Here is a 22,205-nt window from a genome sequence, read left to right as displayed (position 1 = left end):
AACAAGAAATGGGGAAAGAATTCCCTATTTAATAAATGGTGCTGGGAAAACTGGCTAGCCATATGTAGAAAGCTGAAACTGGATCCCTTCCTTACACCTTATACAAAAATTAATTCAAGATGGATCAAAGACTTAAATGTTAGACCTAAAACCATAAAAACCCTAGAAGAAAACCTAGGCATTACCATTCAGGACATAGGCACAGGCGAGGACTTCATGACTAAAACATCAAAAGCAATGGCAACAGAAGCCAAAATTGACAAATGGAATCTAATTAAACTAAGAGCTTCTGCATGGCAAAAGAAACTACCATCAGAGTGAACAGGCAACCTACAGAATGGGAGAAAATTTTTGCAATCTACCCATCTAACAAAGGGCTAATATCCAGAGTCCACAAAGAACTTAAACAAATTTACAAGAAAAAAATCAAACAACCCCATCAAGAAGTGGGCAAAGGATATGAACAGACACTTCTCAAAAGAAGATATTTATGCAGCCAACAGACACATGAAAAAATGCTCATCATCACTGGTCATCAAAGAAATGCAAATCAAAACCACAATGAGATACCATCTCACACCAGTTAGAATGGAGATCATTAAAAAGTCAGGAAAGAACAGATGCTGGAGAGGATGTGGAGAAATAGGAATACTTTTACACTGTTGGTGGGAGTAAATTAGTTCAACCATTGTGGAAGACAGTGTGGCGATTCCACAAGGATCTAGAACTAGAAATACCATTTCACCCAGCATTCCCATTACTGGGTATATACCCAAAGGATTATAATCATGCTACTATAAAGATACATACACACGTATGTTTACTGCGGCACTATTCACAATAGCAAAGACTTGGAACCAACCCAAATATTCATCAATGATAGACTGGATTAAGAAAATGTGGCACATATACACCATGGAATACTATGCTGCCATAAAAAAGGTTGAGTTCATATCCTTTGTAGGGACATGGATGAAGCTGGAAACCATCATTCTGAGCAAACTATCACAAGGACAGAAAACCAAACACTGCATGTTCTCACTCACAGGCGGGAACTGAACAATGAGAACACTTGGACACAGGAAGGGGAACATCACACACTGGGGCCTGTTGTGGGGTCAGGGGATGGGGGAGGGATAGCATTAGGAGAAATATGTAATGTAAATGACGAGTTAATGGGTGCAGCAAACCAACACGGCACATGTATACATATGTAACAAACCTGCACGTTGTGCACATGTACCCTAGAACTCAAAGTATAATAAAAAAATTGTGTTCCTAACTTCTGTGTTTCTTTATCTATGTACTTATTCTGTCCACTTACTTTAGTCTGTGTTTTTTAAAAGGATCACAACTGCCTTGAGAAGAGGCTTTGGAATGGGAAAGTCCAGATTCTTCTTAATTGTTGTCTCATCACTGAGTCCCTATCAGAAGTCTGAGTTTCTTGAAGATACTCATTCAGTGTGGAAAGAACCAAATAGATATTGGCCTGTCAAAATAAATAAAAAGGCTCTGCTTCTTGATAGCAGTTGAAAAGGATGTTTTCCATCATAGTAGATGGGACATGCAGTTCATGGCTGAATGGAATGACTGGGAATGATCTTGCTGAATGGAATAAGATCTACAATTTAGAAATCTATCACAGTCAGGTTCTTGCTTTTGCAAGCTGTTTCTGTGTCTTTTCCAGGAAAAATAACTGTGATAAAAAACCAGTGTAGATTGTTCAGGAATAATGAATTCAAAACTGGAAACAAAAACAGCCTTTTCGACTGTTATATATTCAATGTGTGCAACAGGAGAGCATTTATTTGATATTTGATATTCTTGTTAACTCTGTTATATTTTCCTCTGAGCAAACAGCACCACTTGGAATTACAACTCTGTTTATTTTGGTATCCACTACTAAAATGTATCCTCCATGAGAACAGAAAACTTGTGTATCTTATTAACTACTTTATTTCTAGTATCAAGAATAGGACTTGGTACAGGTACTAATCAATTCATTGACGCATTCAACATGTAGTATTCAGGGGCTACTATGTGCCAGGCAGTGTTCTAGGTGCTGAAGGTATAATAGTGAATAAATAGACAAGAATCACTGCCCTTACAGAACTTACATTATAGCGGGAAAGATGGGCCATAAACAACGTATTATTACATAAAATGCATACTGTGTTTGAAAGTGATAACTGCTAAGGAGAAAAAAATAGCAGAGAAAGAGGATAGATAGGATGCAGAAGCGGGGAGAGTTGAACGTATGGACAAAGTGGTCAGGGAAGGTCTCTCTCACTGAAAAGGTGACATTTACTGAATTTGTAAGTGAAACCCCCAAACCCCTAAAGTCATCAAGCCAAAGCAATGGTGCATTTGGAATTCAGCCTGCATAGGTCTTCCGGCCCCTGCTTTCTATGGAACTGCTTTTATCATGCCAATTCCTTGTTTTAAAACTTATGGTTCCTTTCCCTTGCTATCACATCCAGACTCATTCATCTGGCTTTTAAGATCCTCACAAGAACATTAATTCTTCCATTTCTCCAGATAGACCTTCTAGGCAGGTCCGGCTGGTTTCTGTTTCCTGCACAATATCATGCTGTAACATAATAACATGATATAATAATGAAACTTGATGCTTTTGTGTGCTACTTCCCCTGCCTGCAGCCACAGTCTGCAAGTCAGATGTCAGCTGATCCCCAAGCTCATACTCTTTGTGTCCCAGGTACATGGCTTCCTTTCCACATCCTCACTACTTCTCCTCTAGTATTGTTTTGAGAATAAAATGAGATAGCCTCAAAATGAGAATCTGTGTTTTAACATAATAAATAAATAAATACCAAAGAGAGTTAAAAATGCCAGTTGACACATAATTGCTACATAATTTTACAAGTTTTCGCTAACATGGATAACAATGATGACAATGAATTATATTGGTTTATTATATAAAATCCCTGCTTAAAATGCAAAACACTTATAAATGTAAAACATGAAACAATACCCAGCAAAATTTAAGGTGCTCAAGTAATCTGGCTTGGTCTAAGCAAACCCATTTGAAGAATGAATGTAAGAGTTGGGTTTGAATGTGTACAGAGAAGTGCTCAGGGTTCACTAGTCATGGAAACTTCTTGACACACAGACCTCTGCATTCAGCTTCTTGTTACTCCAGTTCCTGGGAAACTATTTGAAGCTGCCTAAATAAATGGGTAATATTGTGAAGCTGCTTGGCTGCAGTCAGTACATGGGAATGAGCCTCACTTAAATTGACCAGGCAGGGTTTCCAAGTCATCATTAAAATGACCACTAATGACTCTGCTGACCTGGCTACCATGCTAATGAATTCACAGTGTGCCCATCCACAACCGAGAAAAGGGCTGCCTTACAGGAAGTGCTAATTATAGCCGTGAATGAATAAAAGTTATTTGTAAGGGTGAGGAAGAGACATTGTAAAATCCATGTGAGTGTTCCTTTTAAAGTTATCTTCTCAAGAAATTAATGTCAATGCTGACACTATGGAAAATAATCCGGTGTAATAGTTTTGATAATACGAATCTATGTGGTTTAAATTTTCCATGCTTTGTTTGGAAGGCTCTGTTTATGCAAGAAAGTGAGCTATGACAAAGGTTGAAAACACATTAAAAGGTGTTTGACAACATTTGTCTGGCCGGAATCATTTTTCCGTAAAAAGGTTGTAAATTTATTAGGCAAATAATGACTTAACCATTGCAATTTTCTATGACTATATGATAATAACCATTACATTATCTGAAAATGAAAAATAGAAACTCTGGAGTACATTTATTTAAGTATGATTATTGGGAACTAAAGTAAGAAAGGATAAAAATAAGCTTAAACTTATTTTTCCCTGGAAACAAAAAGCTATTTTTTTGTTAACCTTGGGTCATGCAGCATAAAAAGCTATTTCAAAGTACTATATTTGCTAATAAAAATCAATTATGAATTTGGTTACTTTCAACTGATTAGACCTACATGATTCACTTGTTTTAAAAAACTTGGAAAGGCTTTCTGAGCGCATTCACATTTCATGGAAAATCTCAGTGCAGCTCTTTGTTACACGTATATACAAGAGGACCCATCACTTATTGTGTGAGGAGAATGTTTTAAAGCAGTCATAAGAACTTGCAACCAAACTGAGCCAGGTTATGCTACAGGGCCGTGGAGTGGGGAATTGCTACTGATTTTGTCCACTTGATTTGGCTTACAGAAATAAAGCAGTGAAGTGACTAAAACAGCAGAAAACAAAATCTTCTTGAGTAAAGTACTCTTGGCAGTAGACTTTATGATGTGGTACAACATCAGGAAAAAATAAACCCAGCAGACAGATGGTCTCCAGAGAGAAATAACCATAAACTCTGAAACTACTACACATGAAAGTACCTGCCCAAGGAATAGAGAAGACAGATGTTTCTCTAGGGATTGACCTACAATGGCACTTGTTGCTCTTGGTGACCAGAGCTAAAAGAAAGCTGAAAGCCAGCATCAGTGTGTGAAGTCACTGAAGTATTTTATAGATCAGAAAAGTTGGCAAGCGATGGACACTAGACAACACAAACTTCCTCTCTCCAAAAATATATTCACAGTCAGCTTTAAAGCTGTAGTCACTCCTCTGGGGTCTGGTAAGTAAAGAAAAAAGGTATGTTTTTTTTCTTGCTGCTGCTATGTATATAAGCATCAAGCTTTTTTTTGTGACCAAAAAAAAAAATTGAAGTTGATGATTTTATGTAGGTAGAAACACATTAGGAGGATAAGAAGAAAGACAAAAATGTGGCTTTACCTAACATATTTTATCCTTCACTGAAAGTTCTAGAGATGTTTACTTAAATTTTGTTATTACTGTTTTAGGTGCATAGTTGAAACTAAAACATATTAAATGGCGCTGGGAGATGTAAAAGTAGAAAGTGTTAGGGTCGGGAGTGGTGGTTCACGCCTGTAATCCTAGCACTTTGGGAGGCCGAGGCGAGTAGATTGCCTGAACTCAGGAGTTTGAGACCAGCCTGGGCAACACAGTGAAACCCTGTCTCTACTAAAATACAAAAAATTAGCCGGGTGTGCCGTGCACCTGTAGTCCCAGCTACTTGGGAGGCTGAGGCAGGAGAATTGCTTGAACCCGGGAGGCGGAGGTTGCAGTGAGCCGAGATGGTGCCACTGCACTCCAGCCTGGATGACAGAGCAAGACTCCATCTAAAAAAAAAAAAAAGTAGAAAGTGTTATTAGCATAGATAGTTTGGCCTAAATTTTCAGTTTTCATGGGCACCTGTCCTATTTTTTAAAAGAGAAACATAACTCAGTTTTCTAATTAGTAAGCTGACAGGGATGCACTAAATAAACATGTCCCATATTTGGTTGTTTTAGGATACTCTGATGTCAATGCTTCTATTTAGAGAGTAGTGGGAGGAGGGCTATGCTGTCAAAGAGTCAGAAATGGTTTCTGATTCCTAGGCCCTTGAAAATGCACGAGGCTGGCAGGGACCCAGAAGTATCACCTGCACAATCCAGAAAAAATGCGTTATTTTCCACTTCTTGCCATAAGAGAGTCTAGGCCTTTTTTTTTTTTTTGCCACTAGTTATTGCCATCTGTAGGAGAGGAAGGGAAGAGAGAAAGATTTATAGCAGGGGTGGACAAACTTTTTCTGTAAATGACCAGATAGTAAATATTTTAGATTTTGTGAGCCATATGGTCTCTCTAGGAGCTACTCAGCACTGCAGTTGTAGTGCAAAAGCAGCTACAAACTGTAAATGAATAGGTGTAATTATGTTCTAATTAAACTTTATTTACAAAAACAAGTGGAAAGCTGGATTTGGTCCATAGGTTACTAACCCTCGGTTTAGAGTATTACAAAGGGCTAAAATGTGATTTCCACTCTCATCTGGCAAGACAATGTTACTTCTCCCCCAGCAAAGTTTTCAGTGTATGTCTCCTCCTACTCAGGTACTCATGATAAAGGGCCCATCATAAATGTACCTTTATGTCAGAACTTATTGTGAATTTAAAGGTTATCATTCAAAAATAAATTTAAAATGTGGGAAAAGTTTATGTACACTGTTGAATGTTTTTGTCTCGTTAAATACAAAAATAACCAAAGGAAAAATAAAGGCAGATAGAGATGTCACATATTTCTTAATTTCTTTGGCAGAACTAAGTTCCCAATACTATTTTGCAAGTGACAGAAAAACTGTTTCTGTTCTTTACTATTCCCTTTTTGTCATTTGTATTAGATAAAATGAGCATCAGTTGATCGGAAGAGTATTTGATCTTTGTCTTTCCTGTTTAATGTTGCTTGGTGGAAAACCGTAATTCAAAGAAAAGCAATAGAAAACTAACCAGGTACTATTACTCATAATAGGTATCAGACAACTTTTACATCACTGTAAAATTCTAAGTGCTTGAAAAGTTTTCCAGAGCATCTCTTTTTTGCCACAAAGCTTTGGGAAACAAAGGAATTTAATGTTCTCAAAGTTCAAAATTATTTTCCATAATAATTCAGCCTTTCAAAGGATTTCTACAAAATCCTTTCCCTCCAGTAAAAAAAAAATTGCAAAATGCTTGACAAAAAAATCCATGGCATCTCTAAAAAAGTATTGTTGACCCATATTTTTCTTTTGAGTGACTTAGGTTTTTTTAGAGAAGTTTATGTTCACAGTAAATTGAGAGGAAGGTGCAAAGATTTCCCATGACTCCCAAATCTTGAAATTTTCTTTTTACTAATGGTAAAACATTTATAGGCCTATCAATATGATATGACTATGATAACCTGTAACCTATGACCAATAAATTATTAATTGAGGGCCATTTATTGCAGAAAGTGGGACTCATTTTTCAACCCATTTGGGACATCAGTGAATGTGGCTATGGTTTTCCTCTGTTACCAAAAGCGTTTCCTTTTCAGTTTGATTTAGTGAACCAGGGAGATTTGGTAGAACTATCATTGAATTACACATTAGAAGGCCTAGAGTTTAGTTTAGTTTCACTACTTCCTAGGTTGTAACTGTTGGACAAATCTCTGATGTACTGTTAGCTTCAATTTTATTCATTGGTAAAATGAAGTCTAATACATGCTGTGTGTAGATAGGATTTGATTATGTAGGTGATGAAATAAAAACATTATACAAACACATTGTATTCTTATGAGAAGATTATAGTGCCCCTGAGATTAGGCCTTTATTTTACTCTTTTTAATTTAGTGGAAGAACAATTTATTGAACACCTACTAGGCACTTGTGTTAACCACCAGGCACTTATACAAAGAAGCAGCTCTTAAAAAGGAATGAGATCATGTCCTTTGCAGGGACATGAATGAAGCTGGAAGCCATCATCCTCAGCAAACTAACACAGGAACAGAAAACCAAACACCATATGTTCTCACTCATAAGTGGGAGTTGAACATTGAGAACACATGAACACAGAGAGGGGAACAGCACACACCAGGGCTTGTTGGGGGGTAGGGGGTGAGGGGAGAAAACTTAGGGGATGGGTCAATAGATGCAGCAAACCACCATGGCACACATATACCTATGTAACAAAACTGCATGTTCTGCACATGTATTCCATTTGTTTTTTCAGAAGAAATAAAGAAAAAAAAAGAAGCAGCTCAATGATTGTTGACTGGTATTGGTTAATTGCTATATTTAATGGCAAGTAGATATTCATCTATTCACTAGTAAATAGATAATGCAAGTCTTTACAAGACTGTCTATTTCCATATTAGATTTCTGAAAGGGAGATTCTGAAAACTGGCTTTCTGGCATGGCAGATTGCCTTCAGACTGACTGCAGTTTGCAGAGGTAGGGGCTGAGGCACTTGTTGGTTAGGGTTAGAGAATTTCTTTACCGGTAGCTAGAAGGCAATACAGCCTTTGACCCCATCAAGAAGCCATAACAAGACATTGTCCCTGTTTCTACTTAAAAATGTCTGCCACAGAACTCACTAGATCATATTTAGCACCTCTTTTTTAAAATTATACTTTAAGTTCTAGGGTATATGTGCACAATGTGCAGGTTTGTTACATATGTATACATGTGCCATGTTGGTGTGCTACACTCATTAACTCGTCATTTACATTAGGTATATCTCCTAATGCTATCCCTCCCCTCTCCTCCCACCCCACAACAGGCCCTGGTGTGTGATGTCCCCCTTCCTGTGTCCAAGTGTTCTCATTGTTCAATTCCCACCTATGAGTGAGAACATGTGATGTTTGGTTTTCTGTCCTTGCGATAGTTTGCTAAGAATGATGGTTTCCAGCTTCATCCATGTCCCTACAAAGGACATGAACTCATCATTTTATATGGCTGCAAAGTATTCCATGGTGTATATGTGCCACATTTCAGTCTATCATTGTTGGGCATTTGAGTTGGTTCCAGGTCTTTGCTATTGTGAATAGTGCTGCAGTAAACATACGTGTGCATGTGTCTTTATAGCAGCATGATTTATAATCCTTTGGGTATATACCCAGTAATGGGATGGCTGGGTCAAATGGTATTTCTAGTTCTAGATCCCTGAGGAATAGCCACACTGTCTTCCACAATGGTTGAACTAGTTTACAGTCCCACCAACAGTGTAAAAGTGTTCCTGTTTTTCCACATCCTCTCCAGCACCGGTTGTTTCCTGACTTTTTAATGATTGCCATTCTAACTGGTGTGAGATGGTATCTCATTGTGGTTTTGATTTGCATTTCTCTGATGGCCAGTGATAATGAGCATTTTTTCATGTGTCTTTTGGCTGCATAAATGTCTTCTTTTGAGAAGTGTCTGTTCATATCCTTCACCCACATGTTGATGGGGTTGTTTTTTTCTTGTAAATTTGTTTGAGTTCTTTGTAGATTCTGGATATTAGCCCTTTGTCAGATGAGTAGATTGCAAAAATTTTCTCCCATTTTGTAGGTTGCCTGTTCACTCTGATGGTAGTTTCTTTTGCTGTGCAGAAGCTCTTTAGTTTAAGTAGATCCCATTTGTCAATTTTGGTTTTTGTTGCCATTGCTTTTGGTGTTTTAGACATGAAGTCCTTGCCCATGCCTATGCCCTGAATGGTATTGCCTAGGTTTTCTTCTAGGGTTTTTATGGTTTTAGGTCTAACATGTAAGTCTTTAATCCATCTTGAATTAATTTTTGTATAAGGTGTAAGGAAGGGATCCAGTTTCAGCTTTCTACATATGGCTAGCCAGTTTTCCCAGCACCATCTGTTAAATAGGGAATCCTTTCCCCATTTCTTGTTTTTTGTCAGGTTTGTCAAAGATCAGATAGTTGTAGATGTGTGGTATTATTTCTGAGGGCTCTGTTCTGTTCCATTAGTCTATATCTCTGTTTTGGTACCAGTACCATGCTGTTTTGGTTACTGTGGCCTTGTAGTATAGTTTGAAGTTAGGTAGCGTGATGCCTCCAGCTTTGTTCTTTTGGCTTACCTCTTATAAAGCCAAATTCTTCTCAACTGGTAATTAGCTTTGGTACTACTGAAACTGCATATAGAAAACTATTGCACTTTTCTATTTACAGATTATTGTATCAGCATTGAATACATGTGCATATGTAATACACACATGGTAGTAATCAAACTATTGGCCAATCACATCAAGGTTTAGATACTTAATCCACTGAAGCTGGTAGTTATTTTGATCTGTAATCATAGTGAGTAATAAGCATGTTTGAATTATGGGGGACTAGTTTCTTATTTGTCTTTTATTATATTTTTAGAGATGGGGTCTTGCTCTGTCATCCAAGCTAGAGTGCAGTGGTGTGATTACAGCTCACTGCAGCCTTGAACTCCTGGGCTCAAGTGATCCCCTCACCTCAGCCTCTGGAGTAATTGGAACTTCTAGTGCACACCACCATGCCCTGCTAATTTATTTTATTTTTTTAGAGATAGGGTCTTGCTATGTTGCCCAAGCAGGTCTCAAACTCCTGGCCTCAAGGAATCCTCCCACCTCAGCCTCCTGAGTGATTTGGATTAAAAGGATGAGCCACCTGCACCCAATGGGAATATTTTCTTGATAGCATTTGTCCTAGAGCCAATCTTCTATGCAGGCCTTAGGACTCCTGCCAAGAGGTTCAGAAGTTGACATCAGATAACCAGACGTTGTTATCCAGACAGTCCTCTTAAGTACCTGAATTCCTGGGAGTGTTTAGATACTCCCAGACAACATCAACAGTAACAGAAATAGGGATAGATAATAGGGAAAGAGCCGCAATAGTTGACTAATTCTGTATACATGGTACTGAATTCAACACAGGGATTTTCTTTGACCTTTAAGGTCTGATGTTTGAGAATTTGTTGACCAAAGAAATGGATTAACATATAGGGACTGCTATAAGTAAACAATCTGTCCAGTCGTATCTAGGAGAAAAATGACGGAATAGAATAATATAAAAGTAGAGGAGGGAAGATGAAGGGAATTCTGATACAAGTTGGGAATGTTACAAGAGTGAAAATACCATCCCAACACAATTGGAAAACTCTACCTAGGGGAGGAGGCACCACTAACTAATGACTGAGACAAACCATTAGGTTCAACCATATGAAATTGCCATTATTGTAGGTCAGAAACAACTGAATTTCAGCAAGTTTACATGGTCTAACCTTACATGTTATACCTGTATTGTGCTTACATTTTGCTATGTATATATGTGTATACATTTATAAATACCCAACACAAAGTTCATGCATATCTTCTTCCAAGATTCAAAAAATCTTAAGATGAAGGAAAGCTGACAATAATATTTATTATAACACATCTCCTTTGTCTAAAGGGTTATCAGTTCAATTACTTTCAAATTTGGTTGTAAACATATATTGTGTTTGGGCATAAATGCTTCTTAATTATTAAGTAATACCTGAATTTGCCACTTTTAAAATAAATATACTTTAAAAAATGAATACACTGAAATTGAGGAGCAACCAAACAGTTCTTACAGAAGCCAAACTGTACTTAGGAAACCCAAGTTGGCTATTTTCAGCTTATTCCTCAACTCCTTAGTTTCAGGTATAAAGTCATCACATACCAATTGGATGACTAGTCCAAAGGGAAGCTTAGTAAGAGATCACATTGTTTATTCTCATCCCTGAAGTCAGCCACACTTGAGAGATGAATAAACAACAGGTGCTGCCCAAGATTACAATGTAGGTTGACTTTGATGCTTCAATTATTTTTGGCCGAGATATTATATTTGTACATCTCTATGTTTGTAAATATTGCATATATGTATATATGGATAATTGTGGAAGTAAGAGCTATACACATCATTAGTTAATCTGATAAATAAACTTTAGTTAGTTTTAGGAGAATATCTCTGGATTATAAGAATAAGCCACTTCATAAAACATTTGTAAAACTTTGTAAAAACAAGTACATAAACAATATAGAAATGTATAACTTAGAAAGTCAAAGTCCCTAATAATCATTGTCTACACCTTTGCCTTCCTCTTTCAAATAATCAATATCATCAATTTGGGAGATATAATCTGAATTTCCCCCTCCTCATCACATGTTCTGTTTTTTTTTTCACTTATTTCTTTAAAAGTCTATCCTCCTTTGAGATTCTTTTCTTCACCCGTCTAGATCATAATGATATTTCTCTTCTCTACACTTTCAGTACTTTGAGTTTGCATGTTAATAATAAAATGTCTCACACGGTTCTCTAATTCAGTATTCCCCAGACTGTTTTCCATAGAACACCACTATCCCAAGAGATTTTTATAGATCTGTCTCAAGAAAAAGTTGCTCTGTCAAAAACACTTAGGGAGTTCTGGGTTCAATGACAATAACTGTATTTCTTTGTTGCAGAACTTCTGAGACACTGTGAGTGTGTGTGTGTTTGTATGTTTGTGTGTGTGTATGTAAGTTTCTATTCACATTTTATATAAATGAAAACATATCTTTGTCACATATATCAGATGTCCAATTTTGAGACTTGGTTGTGTTGGGGTCGCTAAGGAGAAGTGGCCCTGCGAATGAGGAAGAGACAGTGAGGGTCAAGAAGGAAGGTCAGAGTAAGCAGGGAAGAATCCAAAGAACATGGTATCCTAAAATCCAAAAGAGTTTTCAGAAGGAGAAAATGGGTCAGGTGCAGTGGCTTATGCCTGTAACCTCCACACGTTGGGAGGCCAAGGTATAGGGATCTCTTGAGGCCAGAAGTTTGAGACCTGCCTAGACAACATAGTGAGAACCTACTGAGACATCTTTAACTTCTTAGGTGTGAATGGTGAAGTTCCAGGGGAAGATTTTAGTATGCCACATTTCTAAAATTTGCATCCAGGAACATCATCCTATTCACCTTCTGACTGATATCTTAAGTGACCTTAATGGTTTTTAGAACCTTGTATGGAAAACTCTACATTCTTGAGAGCAGGGACTTTGTTCTTCATTCCTTTTTGAGACCCTTGTAGTGCATAGCATAGATCTGAAAACATCAAAGCACCCAACAAATATCCGTTGATTGCATCATATGGTTGAAGGAAATAAAAAGAAAAAAATGAAAAATATATTGAAAGATAACTAATATATGCCCAAACTTTTCACCATACATTTTCCTCACTGATTTATTTATCTTGAATTAAATAAAGGGATATTTTTTTGTCTTTAAGATGTACATCTTAAAATTACATAATACCATTATATTTCACTATACTGATCAAAAGTTATTGCATAGGAAGGGTGTACAGACTGATTATGAAATCCCAGTGAGAATATGAAAAATTTGCTGACTAAAATTTTTATAGTGCAAGAAATGTGTTTCTATCCTAAAGAGGGTTATAAAATGGGAGAAATAAAACCCTAAGAGTCATATCATTAAATTTATGGAAGTTCATTTCCTGTGTGTGAGGAGAGTCTAATGGAAAACTTTATAACCATGGACCTTCTCCTTTGTCACAGCTGAAGGGATCCAATGCTAAAATTCTGTTCCATGTAACAAAAAGTACAGTAGAAGAAAATATTGTATCTTGAGTATATTCCTGTCCTTCTATATCTTCCTCTGACTTCTGTAAGATATATTTTAAAAACTCAGTCCACATTCCTTAATTCCTCCAACTCCCTCCAGAAACAACAGGTCTTCAAGGTGTAATTGGGTAACTTTTATTGAAATCAGCTGTTGGTAGTCCCTGGCAACCATATGTGCCAGTTATTGAGTCACAGAGGAAGTGCTGGGTTCCTGAACACAGTCTGTATGGAGTAAATTCTCGAAGCATTTGGCCCTATCTCACAATGCCTCTCACTTTGCCCTGCTCATGATCCAGTCATGGATTTTAAATTGAACCCATGTTTCTGTTTCCATACTGAAAGTTAAGTTTTAGCATAAATATTTGAGGGTCACCACAAATTTAAGAGGATACCTTTCAAAATATGCTTTTCTTTTTTTTCTCTCTCTCTTTTTCTTTCTTTCTTTCTTTGATGGAGTTTCACTCTTGTCACCGAGGCTGAAGTGCAGTGTGGTGATCTTGCCTCACTGCAACCTCTGCCTCCCGGGTTCAAGAGATTCTCCTTCCTCAGCCTCCTGAGTAGCTGGGATTACAGGCGCCTGCCACCATGCCCAACTATTTTTTTTTTTTTTGTTATTTTTAATAGAGACAGGGTTTCACCATGTTGGCCAGGCTAGTTTCGAACTCCTAACTTCAGGTGATCCGCCCGCCTTGGCCTCCCAAAGTTCTGGGATTACAGGCATGAGCCACCACACCTAGCCTGCTTTTCTTTTTATAATACAAAAACAAAATAACATTTTTGATTCGAACCTTATTGGGAATATTTGACTGCTAGTCATAAACTGCCTAAACTAATAAATAACAAAGTAATATATTTATGAGACAGCAACAAGAAATTCTTCTTGGGCTCAGGATGATATCTCAAAGTAATAAAAATATATGCTATCTTCTGTATTTGGCTTCAGGACCTGATGGTGGTGGATGGTGGGAAGTGCTCTAACTCGACTGGAGGCAGCACCTCCCCTTCTGCTCCAGCACACGGCCTTGGGCAGGCACTTTAACCTCCCTGGGACTGGCATCTCTCTTCTGTAAAACCAAGAGGTTGATCTGCATAAACACAAATAGCACTTCCACATATGTCCAAATCCATGACAATATTATTCCAGGTAAAAATGTGCAGCAGATCCTCTTACACATAGACAAAGTGGGCCATTCTGTTTTACAAATAGCACTTTTCAAGCAATGTGACTTTTTTGTGCTTAACCCAGTAATGAGCATTTCCTAAAAATTTAAATGCTAATAAGATAAACCTTAATAGCAACTTGATTGTGGAAGTTTGGATTTAAAAATAAAATAGATAATAACTCTGGAGATGACAGGACCACTTTTCTCCTCTAAATTGTTTGATGCTGTGGGTCAGTGGATAGGAAAACAATAAGAACATCTGCTCAGATGACACACTTCACATTCCCGATGAGGCCATAATAGTTCACGATGAAATGTTGAGAAAATGGCTTCTAGGAAAGAAAAAAACAGAAGGAGATACAGCCATTTCTCATTATTTGCAGTGGCAGTTATGTTCTGTAAAGTCACTACAAACACTGAATTAGTAAATACCAAGCCATTGCTCGTAGGGATATACAGGACTAAGTCCCCAGGAGCCTCTGGTCTCATCAGTTTTATCAACTTATCAATACATATTATTGTTTTACCTGTGCTTCCATTTAATGATACGTTATTTAATATTGTTGATTCACTAATGTTGAACTCACAGCCAAGAGCACTGTAACTCATGCCTGAAAGAAGCTTATCTAACCAACTGTGTTTTCTCCAAGAGGCTCATCACAGCCTTCTTGTGCTTTGGAACAGTAGACAGCACTTCAGCACTACTCTTGGGGCCAATTTTAAGTGGTGAAATTATCAACAAAAAGCACAAAAGGCTGAGCATGCCTGTAACCCCAGCACTCGAGGCCGAGGTGGGAGGATCACTTGAGACCAGGAGTTTGAGACCAGCCTAGGAAACGTAGTGAGACCCAATTTCTACAAAATAAACAAATAGATAAATAAAACGTAAACCAAAAAAGAATTTTTTTTTAAAAAAAGCACGAAAATGTGAAAAACAGCAGAAAATAGGTCTTGCAAGGGACACATGTTTACAGTGTGAGTGCTGAAACAAGAAGACAAGAGTGTCAGTTTGTTCAAACTCAGTTGAGAACCCGAATGTTGGGAGACTAAAATTTTTTTGTTGCTCTGTAAAGGGCCACAAAGGTGCCATAGGTGTTATTTCACCTCATAAATACATTTTTAGTGGGTTAGCAAATTTGCAAACATGGAATACACTAATAATATTGAGGATCAACTCTGTATAAATTACATATAAATTTCAAAATATGTAAAATTCTAAGTATCATAACTTTTTTATTTAAAAAGCAAAGAATGGTATTGCTGTTATTAAATTATATAAGAGATGATCTTAAATGAATATTTTCTTGTAATCACCAAGGATAGGAAATCAATAAGGTATTTATAGTTCATATACAAATAATGTCTTTCTGTACCCTAAGGCATATTTTCACTATGAATAAAGGTGGTTTGTTTTAGAATCAACAAATAAACAGAATTACAACATGAAAACCTATGAAGGCTGCAAATATTCTTAGAAACTTGAGAGTAATGAGGCTTGTTCCTACTATTGATTAATACAAAACATTTGACCAGATCTCTATAATAATCCACATGAAATTGCAAGGGTCATCCAGAGGAGTAAAGTGAGCAGCTTAAATGATGCCATCATTTTTAATGTTTGATAACTTACATTTAAAAGTCTATCAGGGCACAATTACGTTTACTGAGTACACTGATTGAATAAATACAAAGCTGCCAAGAAACTCACTGGCTTGAGAACTAATGTTGTAAAAGTGGTCAAGACAGCATTGCTATGATTCATTTAAGTAAATATTCATTTTTAAAAAATTTTCTCAAGCAAAAGAAAATTGTGAGACCTCAAACAAGGCACTGAAACTCATCATGACTGACTTCACAAAAAAATATACGAAGCTCACCATCTTAAAAATAAAATCTGTGGACTGAGTGAGTTGGCTCTTACCTGTAATTGCAGCATTTTGGGAGGCCAAGGCAGGTAGGCCAGGAGTTCAAGACCAGGCTGGTCAACATGGTGAAACCCTTCTCTACTAAAAAATACTAACAATTAGCCAGATGTGGTGGTGTGCGCCTGTGGTCCCAGCTACTCAGGAGGCTGAGGCACGAGAATTGCTTGAATCTGGGAGGTGGAGGTTGCAGTGAGCCAAGATCACACCACTGCACTCCAGTGTGGGCAACAGAGTGAGATTCTATCTCAATAAATAAATAAATAAATAAATAAAATAAAAGCTGTGATTAATAGCTATAGCAATCTAAATGAAGGTTTCCAACTCAGTTTTTAACATGAATGTTTTCTATTATACTATCATTTAAGCAATGTATATTTATTTGCTAAACAATACTCCTTTCCAGATTTTAGGCATTTTCATGTATTAGAAATGCAGATATCAATTGATTTTCTATGGCATTTAGTAAGATAAAATAGTCATAAATTAAAATAAATAATACACTTAATTCCAGTAAGACTGAGGTTTGTTCAGTGAAAAACAGGTGCTAAAATATATTAGCCAAATCATATTTTGACTCAAGCTTAAAATAGAACATTTGCAAGTATGAATTCCGTATATGCAGCCCATGTATTGCACTGGCCAAGCAAAGAGGGTTTTTTTCCATCTCCATTGGATAATGTTCTACTTTTTAGCAAGCAAAGCTAAGGAGCCATTTAAAATATTTTACTTTAGACCTGAAGTTTAAACTCTTATCACTGCCTTCAAAGGAAACTCACTCTAAAATGTCTGAAAATACTTGTCACATAAACTCAACCAACTGCAGAATGTTTTTTCTTTTGTAAATATGTAAATTAACTTAGTGCTTTATTTATTTATTTATTTTTTGAGAAATGAGGCTCTTTCAGCTTATAAACATTAGAACTAGGATTAAACCATTTTTTTCCTCTGAGAAGTATGAGATATAAATCTCATTAATTTAGAGGAAATAAAGAATCAAGAGTGTCTTTAAATGCATCTAAATCCTCAGGTAACAAAATTCCTAAATGAAAGATAGGTGTTGATTGTAGCTGGGCATTGCATAATAGCAAGCATAAGGTCCTTTGCAGAGGGACAGTGTGTGGCCTTGAGAAGCAAGTAAATTGTCTCCATCCAGTCCTGGCTCCAGTGGCCTCACAACTGGATGCTGCCATTGGTTCCCTATTAGTCTCTCTGGCTCCACTTTTTCTCTGCTGCCACACAGTCTATAAATTACTCCTGAATTCCTCCTTATTTCAGTTCGGTTTCCATCTCTAACAACCTTCAGTGATTCTCTATGTCCCTCTGGACTAAACAGAGTTTCAGCTGCCTTTCAAGGCCACCATGCATGACCCAGACATGGCTTCTCTCTCTGTTCTGAGCTTAGTGATTTATTTTACTTATTAATTTTAAAAAATTTCAGTAGCTTTAGGTGTACAGGTGGTTTTCAGTTATATGGATGAATTGTATGGTAGTGAAGTCTGGGATTTTAGTGCACCCATCACTTGAGTAATGTATGTTGTGCTCAGTGGGTAGTTTTTCATCCCTCAGTCCTCTCTCTCCTGCATCTGAGTCTCTGATGTCTATTTTATCACTCTGTATGCCTTTGCATACCTATAGCTTAGCTCCCATATATATATATATGTATATATATATGTGTGTATATATATATGTGTATATATATATATATGTGTGTATATATATATATATGTATATATATATATATATATTTAGAGAAACAAGGTCTCACTCTGTCACCCAGGTTAGAGTGCAGTGGCATGATCTTGGCTCGCTGCAAACTCTGTCTCCCAGGCTCAAGCGATCCTCCTGCCTCAGTCTCCCAAGTAGCTGGGACTACAGGTGCACACCACCATACCCAGTTAATTTTTTGTACTTTTTGTTGATACGGGGTTTCACCATGTTGCCCAGGCTGATCTCAAACTCCTGGACTCAAGGGATCTGCCCGCCTTGGCCTCCCAAAGTTCTGGGATTACAAGTGTGAGCCAACCCACCTGGCCTTGGCTCCCACTTACAAGTGAGAACATGTGGTTTTAGGTTTTCCATTCCTGAGTTACTTCACTTACAGATATAATCTCTCTGTTCTCCTCTGTCAACCTCTTTTCTCCACATGCACAATTACCTGAATGGATTTCATCATTTTCAAGCTCATTTGTTCATCCTTTCTGAAGTCCACACCTGAAATGCTTTATCTTCTCGTCTCAGCCCGTCCAAATCCCCACCAACCCTGCCTTCCCCAGTCCACCCAACTTTTTTTTTTTTTTTTTTTTTTTGAGACGGAGTCTCGCTCTGTCACCCAGGCTGGAGTGCAGTGGCGCGATCTCAGCTCACTGCAAGCTCCGCCTCCCGGGTTCACGCCATTCTCCTGCCTCAGCCTCCAGAGTAGCTGGGACTACAGGCGCCCGCCACCACGCCCGGCTAATTTTTTTTTCTATTTTTTTAGTAGAGACGGGGTTTCACCGTGTTAGCCAGGATGGTCTTGATCTCCTGACCTCGTGATCCGCCCGCCTTCGGCCTCCCAAAGTGCTGGGATTACAGGCGTGAGCCACCGCACCCGGCCTCCAGTCCACTCCACTTTAACCTGAAATCATTTCCAAAAAATGCTTGTGGTCTTGCCTAGTTTGGCATGTGATTATAAATGTGTATTTTGTGTCATTATCTAATTTTTCTTTTATATCACTCTTATCCACAGTATATAATGAGGGTCCACATTATATTTACTTTTCAGTTTCTTAAATTTCATCAGCTTCAGAAGTGAATAAATTATTAACCATTTAGAATAGTAACTTTGGAGACAGGGTCTCACTATGTTGCCCAGGCTGGTCTCAAACTCCTGGGCTCAAGCTATCCTTCTACCTCAGGCTCACTAGTGGAAACTACAGGCACAAGCCCGCCATCCCTGGCTCTAACTGCATTTTTTTTAAAGAGATGAGCTGTTCCTCAGGCTGGAGTGTATTGATGTGATCACAGCTCACTGCAGCCTCGAATTCCTGGGCTTAAATGATCCTCCCACCTCTGAAGTATGGTGGCCTGCACCTGTAGTTCCAGCTACTCAGAAGACAAGAGGGTCCTGAGTGGTGGGAACTACGGGCACAGGCCACCATGCCTGGATAGAAGAGTCTTTTTTTGTTTCATTAGATAACAGTTCTGTATAAAAGTAACTTATCTGGGTTGGGCACAGTGGCTCACACCTGTAATCCCAGCACTTTGGGAGACTGAGGCAGGCAGATCACAAGGTCAGGACTTCGAGACCAGCCTGGCCAACATAGTGAAACACCGTCTCTACTAAAAATACAAATTAGCCAGGTATGGTGGTGGGTGCCTGTAATCCCAGCTACTCGGGAGGCCGAGGCAGGAGAATCACTTGAACTCAGGAGGCGGAGGTTGCAGTGAGCCGAGATCGCCCCATTGCACTCCAGCCTGGGTGACAGCGTGAGACTCCATCTCAAAAAATAAAAACAAAACAAAACAACAACAACAACAACAACAAATGTATTTGGGGACACTGAAATAGAAATAGAATATTGAGGGAAACACTTAAATATTTATTAAAAAGTTAAGAAAATAAGGGACTGGAGATGTTTATTTCACAAATAAATATTTTTATAAATTGACATCATGGGCAGTGTAAAGTTTGTCTTAATTAGTTGCTTATTGATAGATCTGGATCATTTGTGCTAGTGATACTGTGATGGAATGGCCATGGGATCATTTGGTCACTTTCTCCTCCTTACTTAGTTTTATGTTAGTAATTCCCATTATTTGAGGGGCTCTGATGTCATAATAATGTCAGTAAGGGTGTGTTGTCAGGCTTCTTTCAGTATGATCCTACTCTGTTAGAGATAAAAACTCAGCATACGCAAAATAGCGTGTATCAAAGCATTCCTTTCCCTTCTGGCCTACAGCTTGGCATGTTTTCAAAAATCCTTAGCAGCATAAAATCTCTCTACATTTATTTGTTTTCAAGTCTTAGATGAAAAGAGCTATTGTTGAAAGCTTAGTTAAGAAATTAAACACACTCAAGACACTTTTCACACTTCTGTGCTTTGGGATATAATTCCTGTAAGTAGGTTTGAATTGTGTCGTGAATCTCCCGGATTCTCAAGTTTATAAAATTTCATTCACCAACAGTTTCAGTTTGAGTTTTCCCCAAAGCAACTTAAAAAGTGATAAAAACTATCATTTTATACTGTAAACTCTAAAATGAGACAGTGTGATTTATTTATGGGGAAGAATTCTTGTTTTCCTCAACATTTCTGAATCTCAGGGCTGCCCAGCATATTACATAACCAAAAGAATATTGTTCGCTACTCTTTCAACTCAGATATGCTGTAGTAAATTATGCCTCCTAAAATATTTTCATGATATCCACAACTGGTAGCATTATTTCTAGAATTAAGGAGGTGTGTTGAATGTCTTTGTAGATAATCAATACATACATGTTTTCTAAAAATATGGAACTCTGAAACCTTTATTAGGAGCTATGTTCCTTAGAGAGTTCCTTGGAGTTCTTTAATTCTAGCAACCATTCTCTCTTCCTTTCCTTGCCCAAATATGAAAGTTGGTATTAGTTTGATGCATATAAATGAAATATCAAATACAAAACAGCAAAAATGAGAGCCCAAAAGGCCCTGGGCAGATTCCCAGGCACAGCATTTAGAATTCTAGCTCTGATTTGCAGGGTCGTTATTGTCCAGGCCTAGCCTGAAAGCTGAATGCATTTTATTCTGCTTATTGATGCATATTCTGCCTCATAACAAGACCCCAGATTACTAAACTTATTTTCTCCTGCAAAAATATCTGATTTAAAGTTCATATTTTCGAGAGGGAAAACAAAGAGTACTGGCTGGCTGCTAATATTCTAAGTGTTGAGATATAATTCAGAAGTATTCAGGAGAAAAGAGAAAGATAAACACCTCTTCTCTTCACGTTTACTGCCATAAACAGGTAGCATATATATAGGCTTCCATAAAGTTTTGCATTCATTGGTGCTGTTAGTGAAATAGATCCTGGCTGTGGTATAGGAACATTAACATCTCTCCCTAATGTGTTACTATGGATGGTTACCACATTTTTTCCTGTTTTCAGATAATGTATTGCACTTTGAAAATGTAAGAAATTATGTTTCCATTGTACTTACTAGGGCAATTCTTCCATTTATGCCACTGGGATTGTTACCTGATTCTTGACCTTAGTGTAAGGCCTGATAACATTAATTGAACACATATTTATTATGTACCTCATATGTTAGGCCTCATATGGTTTTCATATTCTGTTTTACCTTAATATACCTGCACAAAATAATCTAAATCCCATAACCATATCAATATAGCAGAAATGTTTGACTTTAATAGCTTACAGATAGACACTTAAAGTGAGAGCCTAGAAAGTGAGCACATGTTTGATGAAGGGAGTGGCTGTGATTGTGCCCATGGATATGATGGAGGGATGTGTAGAATGGGTGTCTGGGGCTAGACAGGCAGGATATTAAACCTCACATGAAAAACAATTGTGAAACAGTGTTTATAAATTGAACACAACAGTAAGTTGTGCTTCCACTAACTATATGTTATAAAGAGGTTATGTGAAACAATCCCTATCAAATCAACCACTCATCTTCCCAACTGGTAACCTTGGGATGGGGATGGGGAGGCTATCACATTGACTACCTCTCTACTGCCCATTTGTTTTATATCATGTTCAAACTGTTCTCTTGTAATGGGCAGTTTGAGCTTCATAAGGGAACCCTTTCCATGTAACATGAGTCAGAATTTTGAAAGCTTGGATGCCTTTCATTCATAAAAAGAAAAAAAAAAGATGGAGCACCTATTATGTGCCAGGCACCCACTATATTAGGCTCCAGGGACACATCAGTTCATAAGGCACAGCACTTGCTCTAAGGAATCTAGAAAATAATGTAGTCATTCTGAAGGAGGGCTCAGAATTTTTCTTTTTTATAATTTGTAAGACTTAACATTTAAGAGTGATTTATAGAAAACATTGAAAAGACCTGGAAAAAAAAGATGAGAACAAGAATGAAATCTTTTCCTGGGGAACTCCTTAAGCTACCCACCTTTTTCTCAGGTTTTCTATGAAAAAGGACCATGATGTGATTAAATTCAGTCCATGAATAATATGGACACTAG

The 22,205-nt window shown here is 37.6% G+C and overlaps 1 protein-coding gene, 1 long non-coding RNA gene and 1 other non-coding gene across 11 annotated transcripts in view; 2 read left to right on the top strand and 1 right to left on the bottom strand.

The window, feature by feature from the left end:
* The window catches only part of KCNQ5 (potassium voltage-gated channel subfamily Q member 5), a 576,790-nt gene that overhangs the window by 218,900 nt on the left and 335,685 nt on the right, over window positions 1–22,205 (bottom strand). The window lies entirely within an intron of this gene.
* LOC105377855 (uncharacterized) overlaps window positions 1–22,205 on the top strand; it is a 54,497-nt gene that overhangs the window by 20,421 nt on the left and 11,871 nt on the right. Inside the window, exon 3 of the long non-coding RNA XR_007059641.1 lies at window positions 4,217–4,628. This is a non-coding gene — a long non-coding RNA (uncharacterized LOC105377855). The remainder of the gene's footprint in view (window positions 1–4,216; window positions 4,629–22,205) is intronic.
* Window positions 12,201–12,267, top strand: MIR4282 (microRNA 4282). The gene has a single exon (NR_036244.1). It is a non-coding gene; the product is annotated as a microRNA 4282 (primary transcript).

This window comes from Homo sapiens, chromosome 6, assembly GCF_000001405.40.
Source record: "Homo sapiens chromosome 6, GRCh38.p14 Primary Assembly".
Taxonomy (NCBI): Eukaryota; Metazoa; Chordata; class Mammalia; order Primates; family Hominidae; genus Homo; species Homo sapiens.
Note: the sequence above shows the minus strand (reverse complement) of the source record. Positions and strands in the feature narration are given on the sequence as shown.